This window comes from Homo sapiens, chromosome 12 (assembly GCF_000001405.40).
Source record: "Homo sapiens chromosome 12, GRCh38.p14 Primary Assembly".
NCBI lineage: Eukaryota > Metazoa > Chordata > Mammalia > Primates > Hominidae > Homo > Homo sapiens.
The window spans coordinates 17,018,370-17,031,400 of record NC_000012.12 but is presented as its reverse complement, the minus strand read 5'-3'; the positions used below and the strand labels follow the sequence as shown (position 1 = coordinate 17,031,400).

The 13,031-nt window shown below is 41.3% G+C and overlaps 4 annotated features.

Moving 5' to 3' along the window:
• Window positions 588-1,089: an enhancer, noted in NCBI's record as "NANOG hESC enhancer chr12:17183246-17183747 (GRCh37/hg19 assembly coordinates)". NCBI's record gives its function as "activates a minimal SCP1, AML or CMV promoter by ChIP-STARR-seq in primed H9 embryonic stem cells {active_cell/tissue: H9 hESC(primed)}" and the evidence as "EXISTENCE:reporter gene assay evidence [ECO:0000049][PMID:30033119]".
• Window positions 6,263-6,764: an enhancer, noted in NCBI's record as "H3K4me1 hESC enhancer chr12:17177571-17178072 (GRCh37/hg19 assembly coordinates)". NCBI's record gives its function as "activates a minimal SCP1, AML or CMV promoter by ChIP-STARR-seq in primed H9 embryonic stem cells {active_cell/tissue: H9 hESC(primed)}" and the evidence as "EXISTENCE:reporter gene assay evidence [ECO:0000049][PMID:30033119]".
• Window positions 8,308-8,850: an enhancer, noted in NCBI's record as "H3K27ac hESC enhancer chr12:17175485-17176027 (GRCh37/hg19 assembly coordinates)". NCBI's record gives its function as "activates a minimal SCP1, AML or CMV promoter by ChIP-STARR-seq in primed H9 embryonic stem cells {active_cell/tissue: H9 hESC(primed)}" and the evidence as "EXISTENCE:reporter gene assay evidence [ECO:0000049][PMID:30033119]".
• Window positions 9,559-12,624: an enhancer, noted in NCBI's record as "VISTA enhancer hs1532". NCBI's record gives its function as "enhancer in: forebrain[11/11] | eye[8/11]" and the evidence as "EXISTENCE:transgenic organism evidence [ECO:0001131][PMID:17130149]".

The window sequence follows — 13,031 nt, the reverse complement described above, 5'->3', positions numbered from 1 at the left end:
AAAGTAAATTAAACCTCTTGTTTGAAACTGCTATCTTCATTTTATATTTTACAATTCAGTAAAATTTTTACATATTTTAGTTCACTATTTTTTATTAGTCATTGTTTTTAAAAAGTAATTGGCTTATTCTTTAAAAATGTGTCATTTGATGCTTAGTTTTTAAGAAATATCATGGGAAGTCAGGATATTTAGAATATAAAATATAACAGGCCTAAAAAATCAGCATAAAAATTAAAATGTTAATTTTTTAAAACTAACATTAACATGGAACAGAAAAATAAAAGTTTGATTATTTATAATGTCAGATTGCATAGAATCTATGTTTTTCCTGTTTAGATCATTAACACTTAACATTCATTGACTTATGGTAGATTGTAGTCTCCAAATAAAGTCAATTGTATAGAGAAAATGTCACTCTTTTCTCTGATGTAAAGTTTTGTTAGAATTAGAAAAATTACAGATTTAAATATCTAATACCAAAAACAGCACGTAGTTTCAATCAAAAATTACCTTTCCTCATGTTGACATTTGAAATCTCAATGTACTTATAAGGAAGAATTTAATTATCTCCTTAACACTTTAACCCTAGTTTCTGCTGCATTTTTCTGTAGAATGGTTATATAACACTAGACATTAGTGAGTGTGAGCAGAACCTTAGAAAGTGTGAATATCACTTTCATAGATTTTTCTTACAGCCTTTCTTTGCTGCCTGCTATTAAACCCACTTAATCAGCACCCTGATAAATGGTGCATCCACTTAATTGGAACAATTTCCAAGGAGGAGAATTAGTGTAGTTCATTTCAATGACTCCAAACAATGGATAAATTGCACACAGAGTCCATTTAAATAGCACCCCTGATGTTGTCTGTAGGCCTAAAACAGGTGTGAATTGGTATTTGCCAGCATGAACTTCCCACTGTATAACCTTTTTTCTGGTGTCCTGCTGCTTTCCTGTTCTACTACAGCTGTTAAATTAGGTTATCTCACTTTGGATGAGATCGTTAAAGTTGCTGAAGCTCTCATTCCCCAGTAACATGGTCACATGAGCAATATGCCAATAATAAAGGAAAGTAAGCAAATTGAGACAGAATAATTGAGTAATTATATTCTGAACAAGAGAAATGAAATGCAGTCAACATACTTTTTTTTAAGCTCACAACACCACAATATTGGAATAATTCTCAAGCTAATGTGAAAAGAATATCAGGACCCTTACATCTCAATGTATACATCTTCTGAAAGTTGTAATAGAAGCTTGGAATAGGTTTTCAAATGAGGAGCTAGGTGGGAAAATATCTTGAATTTCTGGTTTACATGTTGTTGCATATATGGGTATGACCTTTTGGTAATCAAGACAAGTGATTAATTAACACATTTATTTTTTCAGAATCTGTGCTAATTAAACATATTCTATTTTTCCGGTTTCCTTTAAAACTAAATCCATATGCAAAATGTCTCTGTCTTCCTACATGTTTGTTTATTTATCTTGTGAATCTGTTTGTTGAAATCTGTTCATAAAAGAGGTTGAGACTAGAGATCTAAGAGTAGGAGTTAGGAGAATTAAGACTAATTTCCCCTAAATCCCTGATGTACATTCTCACTGTAAACTTTGGCACCCTTCGAAGTGATGAACTTCATGAAACTCTAGAAGGAAGGGGTAGATGACATGCTAGAGATCATTTTATGCGAGTTCTTATTTTGCACATGAGAAATTTAAATCCTAGACAGATTTAGGTTTGTTTCAAGTTGTCTCAGACAGTTAGTGGTGGAGCCAGACTTCTTGGGTCTTTTTCAAGACCTTTCTCATTCTCTCCTTCCTCCATATGACAGTGTCAGTTTTATCAAACATCAAGTAGATAATAGGAATTGATGAGTATAAACTGTTTACATGTTCATTGATCTATGGTAGTATTTCTGCAGGCTTTAGCATTCTAAGTAATTATTCTTGCATTCACCTACTCATTCATTTATTCACCCTTCCAGAAAAAAATGCATGAGTTCTTGCCATATGTCAAGACAGTGATAGGCCCCAGAGATTCTAAGAATTTCCATATCCCTGCCTTCAGGGATTTCACAGTGAGATCAGCCCTAGTATTTGGAGAATTATACATTTAATTACTACCCTTTATGACTTTGCTAAATAACAGGCATTGTTTACAGCCTTTGCATATCATCTCATTTAACCCTCACTACAAACTTAGGAAATAGGTATCGTTGACTACATTATGCAGGTGAGAAAAATTAGATTCAGAGAAGGTAAGCACCACCCTTTCAAACCTGCTCAGCCAGTAAGTCACATCTGAACTCAAGGTGCAGGCTCTTTCTGCTTCCTATTCCATCTCCCATAAAGAATGACTGGAATTTAATATGTATCTACCTCATGGCATTATAGGAAAATTTGGCCGTGGAAAATGAATGTGTTGATGCTGTGAGAAGCTAACCTCACTCATTCAAGAGTGGGAGTAGTCTGCCCTAACAGTACAGCAGTGCTTTAGCTCAGGACACAGAGCTAAAAGAAAAAGGGAACTCAGGTATTTCTTTCCACTCTAATTAATAAACTAAACCTGAGTATGTGCTTCTCTCAAACCTTTCCTTTTCAATTTTGGAAAAGCTAAAAAGATGACTCTGAAAATAGAGGCTTAACATTGAAGTAGGACATTACCCTGGCCATTTTGCAGGCAGAAACTGGAGTGCAGGGGCACTGGAACTAGCCAGCCACTCTGGCGCTGGCAGGGGCGAATTCCACTCACTCAGACCCTCTGTGCTTCACCCCTCTCAGGATGGGGAGTATGCAGGTGAGTGGGTGCAGAAGCCCGGGTGAGCACTTTTGGGTGCCAGCAGGAGGAAAACTCTGTGTTGGCCCCACAGCAGCATCTAGTGGCGACTGCCTATGACCCCAGAAGTCCCAGAGGGGAGTGTTACAGTCAGTATTCTTTTAGCTTTGTTGTCTGTGGATGGCTTAAGTGTTAACAGCTCAGTGGAGGGTCAGTGTGACAGCCTTCTGCACCCACACCCAAGTTCTTGTCCAGTATCCAGGAGGAACAAGGTCACACAAATGAATTGAAGACAGTAAATGTGGGGGATTTTATTGCTGATGAAAGTGGACCTCAGAGGGAAGGGAAGCTGAAAAGGGGACAGAGCGGTTGGGAGGTAATCTTCCCCTGAAGTCAGGCTGTCGCCAGCCAGACTCTTCTCCAAAGCTATAAGGCCAAGCCATCTCTCTGAAGTCAAGCTGCTTCTCTCTGATATCCAACCGTAGTGTCTGATGCCCAGCTGCTTCCCAACTCTCTCTGCTGGCCGAGCCTGGGGTTTATATGGGCACAGGATGGGGGGTGGTGCGGGCCATGGGTGGTTTTGGAAAGGCAACATTTGAGCAGGAAAACAGAGATGTAAGTTCTCCCGTTGGGCACTGGTTCTAGGCTTGAGGGTGGGGCCCTCACCAGGGACCTGCCCTCTTCTGTCTAGAATTTCCCTGCCTTCTGTCCCTATCAATATCACATCTTTTAGCCTTTCATTTGGATGTCACAGTTATTTCTTGAAGGTGTAGAAACTGAGATAAATCATCACTACTATTGCTGAGAACATTTATTCAGGTGAAAAACAAAGGCAACAATGCAAAAGAATTGGGCTAAGGCCAGGCAAGGTGGCTAACACCTGTAATCCCAACACTTTGAGAGGCCAAGGCGGGAGGATCACTTTCAAGACCAGCCTGGGCAACCTATTGAGACCCCATCTCTATGAAAAATAGACAAAACTAGCTGGGCGTGGTGGTGCACCCCTATAGTCCTAGCTACTCGGGAGGCTGAGATAGGAGGATTGCTTGAGCCCAGGAGGCAAAGGCTGCAGGGATTCAGGATCATGCCACTGCACTCCAGCTTGAGCCACAAAGTGAGACTCTGTCTCTAAAAGAACAACAACAACTAAACAACAACAAAAGGGCAACATGTACACCTGAGCAGAAAAAGTGGGCCTGGTTATAGGAACATGGCCCATTTACATGTATATATATGAAGATGAAGCCTTTGGAGGAAGAAATTGTCAGGCCTCTGAGCCCAAGCCAAGCCATCGCATCCCCTGTGACTTGCATGTATACATCCAGATGGCCTGAAGTAACTGAAGATCCACAAAAGAAGTAAAAATAGCCTTAACTGATGACATTCCACCATTGTGATTTGTTTCTGCCCCACCCTAACTGATCAATGTACTTTGTAATCTCCCCCATCCTTAAGAAGGTACTTTGTAATTCTCCCCACCCTTGAGAATGTACTTTGTGAGATCCACCCCTGCCCGCAAAACATTGCTCTTAACTTCACCACCTATCCCAAAACCTATAAGAACTAATGATAATCCACTACCCTTTGCTGACTCTCTTTTCGGACTCAGCCCGCCTGCCGCCAGGTGAAATAAACAGCCATGTTGCTCACACAAAGCCTGTTTGGTGGTCTCTTAACACGGACGCGCATGAAATTTGGTGCCGTGACTCGGATCGGGGGACCTCCCTTGGGAGATCAATCCCCCGTCCTCCTGCTCTTTGCTCTGTGAGAAAGATCCACCTATGACCTCAGGTCCTCAGACTGACCAGCCCAAGAAACATCTCACCAATTTCAAATCCGGTAAGTGGCCTCTTTTTACTCTCTCCTCTAACTTCCCTTACTATCCCTCAACCTCTTTCTCCTTTCAGTCTTGGCGCCACACTTCACTCTCTCCCTTCTCTTAATTTCAGTTCCTTTCATTTTCTGGTAGAGACAAAGGAGACACGTTTTATCCGTGGACCCAAAACTCCAGCGCCAGTCACAGACTGGGAAGGCAGCCTTCCCTTGGTGTTTAATCTTTTCAGGAATGCCTCTCTGATTATTCACTCACATTTCAAAGGTGTCAGACCACACAGGGACGCCTGCCTTGGTCCTTCACCCTTAGTGGCAAGTCCCACTTTTCTGGGGGAGGGGCAAGTACCCCAACCCCTTCTCTCCATGTCTCTACCCCTTCTCTGCTTTTCTGGGGGAGGGACAAGTACCCCTCAACCCCTTCTCCTTCACCCTTAGTGGCAAGTCCCGCTTTTGTAGTGGGCAAGAACCCCCGATCCCTTATTTCCACACCCCAACCTCTTATCTCTGCACCCTAATCCCTTATTTCCACACCCTGACCCCTTTCCCACTTTTCTGGAGGGTAAGAACCCCCGAACTACTTCCCTCCATGTCTCTACTCTTCCTTTTCTTTAAACTTGCCCCCTTCACTATGGGCAACCTTCCACCCTCCATTCCTCCTTCTTCTCCCTTAGCCTGTGTTCTCAAGAACTTAAAACCTCTTCAACTCACACCTGACCTAAAACCTAAATGCCTTATTTTCTTCTGCAATGCCGCTTGACCCCAATACAAACTTGACAGTAGTTCCAAATAGCCGGAAAACGGCACTTTCAATGTTTCCATCCTACAAGATCTAAATAATTCTTGTCGTAAAATGGGCAAATGGTCTGAGGTGCTTGATGTCCAGGCATTCTTTTACATGTTGGTCCCTTCCTAGTCTCTGTGCCCAATGCAACTCATCCCAAATCTTCCTTCTTTCCCTCCCGCCTGTCCCCTCAATCCCAACCCCAAGCGTCACTGAGTCTTTCTAATCTTCCTCTTCTACAGACCCATCTGACCTCTCCCCTCCTCGCCAGGCTGAGCTAGGTCCCAATTCTTCCTCAGCCTCTGCTCCTCCACCCTATAATCCTTTTATCACCTCCCCTCCTCACACTCCGTCCGGCTTACAGTTCTGTGACTAGCCCTCCCCCACCTGCCCAGCAATTTACTCTTAAAAAGGTGGCTACAGATAAAGGCGTAGTCATGGTTAATGCTCCTTTTCTTTATCCCAAATCAGATAGCGTTTAGGCTCTTTTTCATCAAATATAAAAACCCAGCCCAGTTCGTGGCTCGTTTGGCAGCAACCCTGAGACGCTTTACAGCCCTAGACCCTAAAAGGTCAAAAGGCCGTCTTATTCTCAATATACATTTTATTACCCAATCTGCTCCCGACATTAAATAAAACTCCAAAAATTGGAAGCTGGCCCTCAAACCCCACAACAGGACTTAATTAACCTCACCTTCCAGGTGTACAATAATAGAAAAAAGTTGCAATTCCTTGCCTCCACTGTGAGACAAACCCCAGCCACATCTCCAGCACACAAGAACTTCCAAACGCCTGAACCACAGCAGCCAGGCGTTCCTCCAGAACCTCCTCCCCCAGGAGCTTGCTACACATGCTGGAAATCTGGCCACTGGGCCAAGGAATGCCCGCAGCCCAGGATTCCTCCTAAGCCATGTCCCATCTGTGTGGGACCCCAATGAAAATCGGACTGTTCAACTCACCTGGCAGCCACTCCCAGAGCCCCTGGAACTCCGGCCCAAGGCTCTCTGACTGACTCCTTCTCGGCTTAGCAGCTGAAGACTGATGCTGCCCGATCGCCTCAGAAGCCCTGTAGCCCATCACAGATGCCGAGCTTCGGGTAACTATCACAGTGGAAGGTAAGTCTGTCCCCTTAATCAATATGGAGGCCACCCACTCCACAGTACCTTCTTTTCAAGGGCCTGTTTCCCTTGCCTCCATGCCTCCATAACTGTTGTGGGTATTGATGGCCAGGCTTCTAAACCTCTTAAAATTCCCCAACTCTGGTGCCAACTTAGACAATACTCTTTTAAGCACTCCTTTTTTAGTTATCCCCACCTGCCCAGTTCCCTTATTAGACTGAGACACTTTAACTAAATTATCTGCTTCCCTCACTATTCCTGGACTACAGCTACATCTCATTGCTGCCCTTCTTCCCAATCCAAAGCCTGTTATCACTCGCCTGCTACAGAATGGCCTTTTAAAGCCTATAAACTCTCCTTACAATTCCCCCATTTTACCTGTCCTAAAATCAGACAAGCCTTACAAATTAGTTCAGGATCTGCGCCTTATCAACCAAATTGTTTTGCCTATCCACCCTGTAGTGCCAAACCCATATACTCTCCTATCCTCAATACCTCCCTCTACAACCCATTATTCTGTTCTAGATCTCAAATATGCTTTCTTTACTATTCCTTTGCACCCTTCATTCCAGCGTCACTTCGCTTTCACTTGGACTGACCCTGACACCCATCAAGCTCAGCAAATTACCTAGGCTGTACTGCCGCAAACCTTCACAGACAGCCCCCATTACTTCAGTCAAGCCCAAATTTCATCCTCATCTGTTACCTATCTTGGCATAATTCTCATAAAAACACACGTGCTCTCCCTGCTGATCGTGTCCCATTAATCTCCCAAACCTCAATCCCTTACAAAACAACAACTCCTTTCCTTCCTAGGCATGGTTAGTGCAGTCAGAATTCTTACACAAGAGCCAGGACCACACCCTGTAGCCTTTCTGTCCAAACAACTTGACCTTACTGTTTTAGCCTAGCCCTCATGTCTGCATGCAGCGGCTGTCGCTGCTTTAATACTTTTAGAGGCCCTAAAAATCACAAACAATGCTCAACTCACTCTCTACATTTCTCATAACTTCCAAAATCTACTTTCTTCCTCATACCTGACGCATATACTTTCCACTCCCTGGCTCCTTCAGCTGTACTCACTCTTTGTTAAGTCCCACAATTACCATTGTTCCTGGCCCGGACTTCAATCTGACCTCCCACATTATTCCTGATACCACACCTGACCCCCATGACTGTATCTCTCTGATCCACCTGATATTCACCTCATTTCCCCATATTTCCTTCTTTCCTGTTCCTCACCCTGATCACGCTTGATTTATTGACGGCAGTTCCACCAGGCCTAATCGCCACCTACCAGCAAAGGCAGGCTATGCTATAGAACAAGCCACTAGCCCGTCTCTTAGAACCTCTCATTTCCTTTCCATCATGGAAATCTATCCTCAAGGAAGTAACTTCTCAGTGTTCCATCTGCTATTCTACTACTCCTCAGGGATTATTCAGGCCCCCTCCCTTCCCTACACATCAAGCTTGAAGATTTGCCCCCACCCAGGACTGGCAAATTAGCTTTACTCAACATGCCCCGAGTCAGATAACTAAAATGCCTCTTAGTCTAAGTAGACACTTTCGCTAGATAAGTAGAGGCCTTTCCTACAGGGTCTGAGAAGGCCACCGCAGTCATTTCTTCCCTTCTGTCAGACATAGTTCCTCAGTTTAGCCTTCCCACCTCTATACAGTCTGAAAACAGACCAGCCTTTATTAGTCAAATCAGCCAAGCAGTTTTTCAGGCTCTTAGTATTCAGTGAAACCTTTATATCCCTTACGGTCCTCCGTCTTCAAGAAAAGTAGAATGGACTAAAGGTCTTTTAACAACACACCTCACCAAGCTCAGCTACCAACTTAAAAAGGACTGGACAATACTTCTACCACTTTCCCTTCTCAGAAGTCAGACCTGTCCTCAGAATGCTATAAGGTACAGCCCATTTAAGCTCCTGTATAGACGCTCCTTTTTATTAGGCACCAGTCTCATTCCAGACACCAGACCAACTTAGTTAGACTGTGCCCCAAAAAAACTTGTCATCCCTATTATCTTCTGTCTAGTCATACTCCTATTCACCGTTCTCAACTACTCATACATGCCCTGCTCTTGTTTACACTGTTTCTCCAAGCCATCACAGATGATATCTCCTGGTGCTATCCCCAAAATGCAGCTCTAAACTCCTGAAGTAAATAAATAATCTTTGCTGGCAGGACTATGCGGAACCTCCTTAGGCACTCTCTAATTAGATGTCCTAGGTCCTCCCAATTCTTAGACCTTTTATACCTGTTTTTCTCCTTCTCTTATTCCATTTAGTTTCTCAATTCATACAAAACCATATCCAGGCCATCACCAATCATTCTATACGACAAATGCTTCTTCTAACATCCCCACAATATCACCCCTTACCACAAGATCTCCCTTCAGCTTAATCTCTCCCACTCTAGGTTCCCACGCCGCCCCTAATCCCGCTTGAAGCAGCCCTGAGAAACATCGCCCACTCTCTCTCCATACCACCTCCCAAAAATTTTCGCCGCCCCAACACTTCAACACTATTTTGTTTTATTTTTCTTATAAATATAAGAAGGCAGGAATGTCAGGCCTCTGAGCCCAAGCCAAGCCATCGCATCCCCTGTGACTTGCATGTATACATCCAGATGGCCTGAAGTAACTGAAGATCCACAAAAGAAGTAAAAATAGCCTTAACTGATGACATTCCACCATTGTGATTTGTTTCTGCCCCACCCTAATTGATCAATGTGCTTTGTAATCTCCCCCACCCTTAAGAAGGTACTTTGTAATTCTCCCCACTGTTGAGAATGTACTTTGTGAGATACACCCGTGCCCGCAAAACATTGCTCTTAACTTCACCGCCTATCCCAAAACCTATAAGAACTAATGATAATCCACCACCCTTCGCTGACTCTCTTTTCGGACTCAGCCCGCCTGCACCCAGGTGAAATAAACAGCCATGTTGCTCACACAAAGCCTGTTTGATGGTCTCTTAACACGGATGTGCATGAAAGAAATCACAAAATCTCAAGAAGTCACTGCATATCACCTAGAATGTGGCACAAGGTATAGGGGGCATGAAGTAAGAACTTGAGAGTCAGGACCCAAATAACACTTCTGATTGGCATTTTAAATGTAAACATGGAAACAACATTGTGGGTTTAATCATACAATCTATGGAACTGAACAAATATTTAATGCGTATAACATTGCACATGCCATCACCAAATCTAAATTTACACCCCTGGAACATATCCCTCCAAATTATACTTTATCTACTTTAAATATTGCCCCAAAGTATGCTGTATTGCCTTACAATATTTCCATTCTGATTCCTTAACTGTATATTATAATTTTGGTACACAAAGTGTATCTATAGTTTTAAAAAAGTGAAATAATAAAAAAGTATTAGGATTAAAAAGAAATTGTAAAAAACATCTAATGTAATGGTGTCTTTTTTGAACAGATGGCAAATCTTAACTTTTATTTTTGCAACGCACATATTGTTAACACTTGACCTGGTATGTTCCCTTTGGATGATTATAACATGTTAAAGCAAAGAAAAAACAACTAAAACTGTTATCCCGTTAGCAACTAAGATTCATTTGATATAGCCAAGCATTGCTAAATTATCTGGCAAAACGAGGTATTTTGTATATCTATTTTAGGAACATAAACTAGTCATTACAAAGGATAGTGACAAGCAGGTATGTTGCAAATTTCAGATTAATTAAAATGCTGTTTAACAAGCCCTATTAGAATGCAAATGTTTTTCATGATTGCTGTCACAAGCTGGCTTTTTTTTTTCCCCTGGATTTCCTATCCATTTACACCTTTCTATTCCCCCATCCCCAGCCTCCATTCATTTGCATTGAAGTGAACCCAAGCAAAGCAACATTAGCCTAATGCATGAGAACAATGAGGTGAAGAAAAAAAGACAGAAGAAGTAAGTCTAATTACTCTAGTTTCATAGAATAAGCTTTTAAGGCTAAGTTCACACTAGGGCAATTACCCACCTAATTGCTCTAGTTTGAAGCTAGTTTGAATAGATGTTTTCAGCAATGTGAGGAGAAAACATGCAAATTCAGTGGATTAGTTTGATCTCTATTGCCCTTTTTATTAAAGAAAAGCCCCTTGAAGTAGTGAGATGACATTCCTTGAACATACTTCTAATGTACCACAAAGCCTTTCCTGATAGACTGCAAACCAGTGGAATCACATCTAAATCCATGTACTAACTTTAATAACCCATCAGTGAACAGAAAAACAAAAGTGTTCCTAAAAATACATTGCCTCCATTTGCAGAGATGTATCTAGCAATGTGAAATGTAACAAATGCATTATTTTATATTTCAAAACACTTTTATTGTTTGTTTAAAAGAATTCTCAAAAGTGATGTCCTAATATAACTGGTTATAACATGAGCCCCTTAACTGCAAGCTTGATGTATTTATGAGTTAAAATTGATTGATAAAATATTCAATGAGATGCAGTTCTTAAATAACAGCTGATGAAAGAGTCTTTCATTAAAAGGCAGGAAGGGGGAAGGAAGGAAGGGAGGGAGGGAAGGAGGGAGAGACACAGGGAGGAAGGAGGGAGAATGGGTAAAGTGGGTTGAGTAAAGAGAAAATTAAAAATGGTGAGGGGAAGTGAGTCCTGAAGACAATAAAGTTCAGGCTTCTGGCAAAGCATATGCTGCTGCTATGGGTTGAAATCTCTTTCAGAAACTTCTTGGATGTGAAGGTAGAGAAAGATACAAAGAGAATCATTCAAAGCTTGAATTAAATTGTCTAAGCAAACGTCCTCATTGTAATAATAAGAAAACTACATTTCAGAGAACTGTCGGAGTCACAGAAATAATTAATTGTACCGCCTGCTCTTAAAGCTAGGTCTTCTGAATGCCAGTCTGTCTAGTAGAGGTTAACACATGGGAAGATCAAGTAGAAGCCCACCCAGATCAGTTTACCGGGCTAGGAAGAGAGCAGGGATGCCTCTTAACTGCAGCCTACCTTTAGGGGACCAGAAAGTGAATATCAAAAAAATAAAGCAGGGAACCTGAGTCCTATAAGTCAACAAGCAAGAAATGCTGAAGAAGACCTACAGAAGCAATGTTCCAGAGAATGAAGAAAGTATCAGGGGGTCCGTGATAGAGGGTTGAAGGATTCTGTTCTTGTCTAATGCTGCAGTTCTATTTTGTTTTGTTTTTTTGCACATTCTCAATACAAGGTTATCTGGATGTATTGGATGCTTTTAAAACGGTAAAGACAGGATGTTTAAAATATATACTTAATTCCACTCTGTCATGTTATCACTTTTCTTCCAATGTCCACCTCTGTAAGAAGTGGGAGAAAAAAAATAGATTGTGGCACCAGACAGACAGGAAAAGAAGTGTTTGGCTCTTTAATTCATAAAGCCATGTCTTTATAAAAAGTAACTAGAAAGGCATTTTGCTCAAATTTTAGAGTAAGGAGGAAACACATCTATCATTTATGGTTCATGGTAGTCAAGAAATCATGAGAAAGGCAACAAATTGATTTTTTTGTCCTAATTATATTATTTTAAAATGTGTCACTATGCTTAGCTCTTTCAAAGATTTAAGGAAAAGGAAATTAACTGACCTATTTTCTTTGACTCAGTTTGTAATTATTAAGGAAATACTATTTTTTTAGACAAAGGATGGCAAATATCTAGCCTAAATGTCCCCATAGCCTATTATTTCACCCATCACAGACATCATTAGTCACTGTAATAATGACATTCAATTGATTGCTGTTAGCTTATCATCCCTGCTTTAGACCAGCAGTCAGAAAACTTTCCTCTAAAAAGTCAGATATTATACATTTTAGACTTTGAAGGCCATAAGATGTCTGTTGCGATTACTCAATTCTGTTGCTGTAGCTCCAACACAGCCATAGATGCTATATAAAAGAATCCTATTTTATTGCCACAGAACTCGTTTACAAAAACAGGTGTTGGGCCAGATTTGGCCTGTAGCTCATAGTTTGTGGACCCTTGATTCAGAGGTATTAAGTATTACTATTCACCTGATAGAAGCAATATGTTCATTTCCATTAAAAAACTTATGAGAAAACCATCATAAAAACCAGATTCTATGAGGTGACTACAGCCTATCAGTTTCTCCTAATCAGCAGCCCAAAATTTAATGTGGTTAATGAGAGTGATGGAAATACTTCACCTATGACAATGTACCTATCCAATAAGCAGGGCCACATATGACTTGTAAACCGTAGCCACTTTTATCTTTGTGGGCTCTTTATCTGACTATCATATTCAAACTCATAAGAGAATCAGAAAGAGAACTGTCTTTCAGAGAACTAAAAGAGAGAAGTAGAAATGAAAAATAATCACCAATAAGATACATTCTTTGGAGACCTTTAAATCATTAGAGAAATAAATGGAATAACTGCTTTCCTTTCTTCTCAAGTAACCCTCACTGCAAATCAACTCACCTCACATATCATTAATTCAGCAGCTGATCATAATCCTGAAAGACACAGTCTCGATTACCATAATT